The sequence below is a fragment of the Homo sapiens genome, chromosome 8, assembly GCF_000001405.40.
Source record: "Homo sapiens chromosome 8, GRCh38.p14 Primary Assembly".
Lineage (NCBI taxonomy): Eukaryota > Metazoa > Chordata > Mammalia > Primates > Hominidae > Homo > Homo sapiens.
The window spans coordinates 65877333-65880064 of NC_000008.11; the positions used below are offsets into that span (position 1 = coordinate 65877333).

At 39.6% G+C, this 2732-nt stretch overlaps 1 annotated feature.

Annotated features, from left to right (window-relative positions):
• Nucleotides 2072–2211: an enhancer, noted in NCBI's record as "active region_27465". NCBI's record gives its function as "activates an Ori minimal core promoter by ATAC-STARR-seq in GM12878 lymphoblastoid cells {active_cell/tissue: GM12878}" and the evidence as "EXISTENCE:reporter gene assay evidence [ECO:0000049][PMID:35858748]".

Below are 2732 nucleotides of genomic sequence, written 5' to 3' on the forward strand. Positions count from 1 at the left end.
GAACCAGGATGGGCGCCTTAATCCCCATAAGTCCTTAAAGCTTTTGTTATTAAAAGTTCTGCATTCCATGGCTTATTATGGAAAAGATAAAATGATCCAAATTAAATATATATTGGTGTGGTGACTTCTAAATTGCTAAAATAGTTTATGACCAATATTTGGCTTGTCAAACCCATATTCCTGGGAAGACAATAAAAACTTCAGGTTCATGGAGCCTCAGTGGGAGTCCACGGGGGAGGAGGACGCCTACTTCCTAGTCCTTGACCAGAGACTTTTCTAGGTGCAGGGAAACTTGAACCATGTCTGTCAGACCCATGACTGCCACAAGAAGATGTCTCAAGACCTGACTGACCCGTGAATTGAAGAAAGACAGTTCCAGCTTTCAGAGGGAGATGTTCTTCCATGATAAATGGCCCGGGAGGGCTGCATGGCCACCACAGCCACTGAGAGAGTGCTCCAGGTGCTCCAGAAAGAAAATGACAGCAACAGGCAGAAGCTGGCTGACTGCAAGGCTAACTTCCAGCCTTTCCTGAGAGGTCCTTTGGCTCCTGGGACTCTGCCCGCAGCCCACGGGGGCCTGGAAGTACCAGGGGGACTGTAGGCCCCCAGGTTCCCCAGGAGAGAGGCGGGTCACAATGTGAGGGCTTGGGTCCAGAGCACCTGCTGGGTTGATTCTGTTTTCCCTGTAGCCAGGCCATGAATGCCCAGAGACTCTGCAGAACATCAGCTGGTGCTGCTACCTTTAAAGCATTTGTGATCAGTCTCTTGTTTAGCTATGATTCATTAGTTGATGCTGAAATTGCTCTTATTGAAATTTGATAGATAGCATTAGGATTGTTAAGTACTGTTTTTCAAATAAAGATTGTTTAATATAAAAAACCCAAAGGCTGCTAAAAGAAATTCTGATCTTTTATTTGTGTAATATTTTTCTCATATGAGACTCAAAACTCTTCTATGTATTTTCCCTTATTTGTGGTTTTGTAAAGAAATCCTGGTCTAGCATCCTGGCTTAGGAGATATGGTCTCTGACAGAGTCTGTACAGGGTAGGGTAAAGTCACATCTGAGAGGTCTCAGCTTTAATTACAGTTTCTCCCTGTCACAGATCTTAACCACTAACATACACATAGTGGTAACCTAATATTATGCCGTCTCAGAGAAGAGATAACTTGGAGGATATTATGTATAGACAGAGAGGAAAAAAGGAAGAAAGGAAGGAAAACAGGAGGACAGAAAGAGAAAGACAAAACAGAAAGAATACGAGAAAGAGGGGAAATCCAAGGGTGTTGCTGCTCTAAGTCTATCATCAGAAAGAATACGAGAAAGAGAGGAAATCCAAGGGTGTTGCTGCTCTAAGTCTATCATCCTAACAAGAGATAAAATCATCAGAAGTATTCCAGAAACAGACAAGACTTGAGAGGCAAACTATAAACACAACTTTGAATCTTTTTTGATGTCAAATTTCTACTAATTCATGAAGTATGTTTTAAACTCCTTTATAGTTTCCTCATCCCAAGGCTTTACTGTTGATTAATACAATTACGCATTTACATGAAATAATGCTATATTATTTCTTAAATTCAAAATTATACAAATACTTTAGTCAAGTGGCATTATGCTATTTTTACTTCTTCAGTACTGTTTTCTCTTTTCTAGTCTTTAATGAATGTAATTGATCATTTATTGTTTTACCAAAGTCTCACAAAGTCCCCAAGTTTGTAGATGGTTCTCTAGACCTTGGCATTAAGGCTCCTACGGCATCTGTTATAGGTGGATGTGGCTGGGAGGAGACTCAGTCTTCCTGCTACCAAGCAAAAAGGAATCTCTGAGGCAGTTTGGGAGAGGCGTTAAGCTTATAAAATTATTGCTGTGACTGCTTCCCTCCTAGTGAGCTATTGAAATAAATTCTCAGATTTAATTCTTCCTTTGAGAGTGAAGTCACTGTCCGGTAGGTTTTCCAAGGCACAGGGCCCAGATGTTGCAGCCAAGGGCACACCCTCCCAGCAAACAGACTATCTGCCTCTCCTAACCTGATGATGTACCCATTTTCAAATAACTGTTATTAAGATGCCAAGAGAACAAAATTAAAAACTTTTTTGAAAAAAAAAATCACTCTCTCACCCCAAAGCACTCCAACTCTTTCATTTTTGCATATAACTTTCCAGTCTTGTTACTAGGTAAATCTATTTTACGTAGTCGTAATTTCACATCCTCTTTCTTAAAATAATGTTATTTAGAATCTGTTCCTTTCAAAAGCCACAGTTGCTGTTTACCTCTGTAGGTGACTTTTCATGAAGCCTGTGTTCATGCACCCCAAGTGCGAAGGACCAGAAGAGAGAGTGTTATCATTACATAATCTTGGCACTGATTTCTAAAATCTCTAGCATGTTATCTGTCCTTCCCAGATTGACCTAAATTTCATTCCATGTTCACACATTAAAGTAGCCCCTTCTGCAGTATTTCATTCAATGTTGTGTGAAAATAAATAGATATCTAACATTTTAAGTAGATATGTAATCTTTTTTTTAAAAAAAAAAAAAGAAACCAAGAACTGCTTTAGCTTATTAACAATAAACTGGCAAAATGTTGCCATGGAAGATGTGACATCACCAGGACAATGATTGTGAGAACCTTGTCTGGAGAATTATATTCACAGAGGAGAATGAAAAGGAAAGGAAAGCTTTCATTTGCCAACAGATTGAATAGCCCAGCAAAAGAAAGTATTAGGTACCAT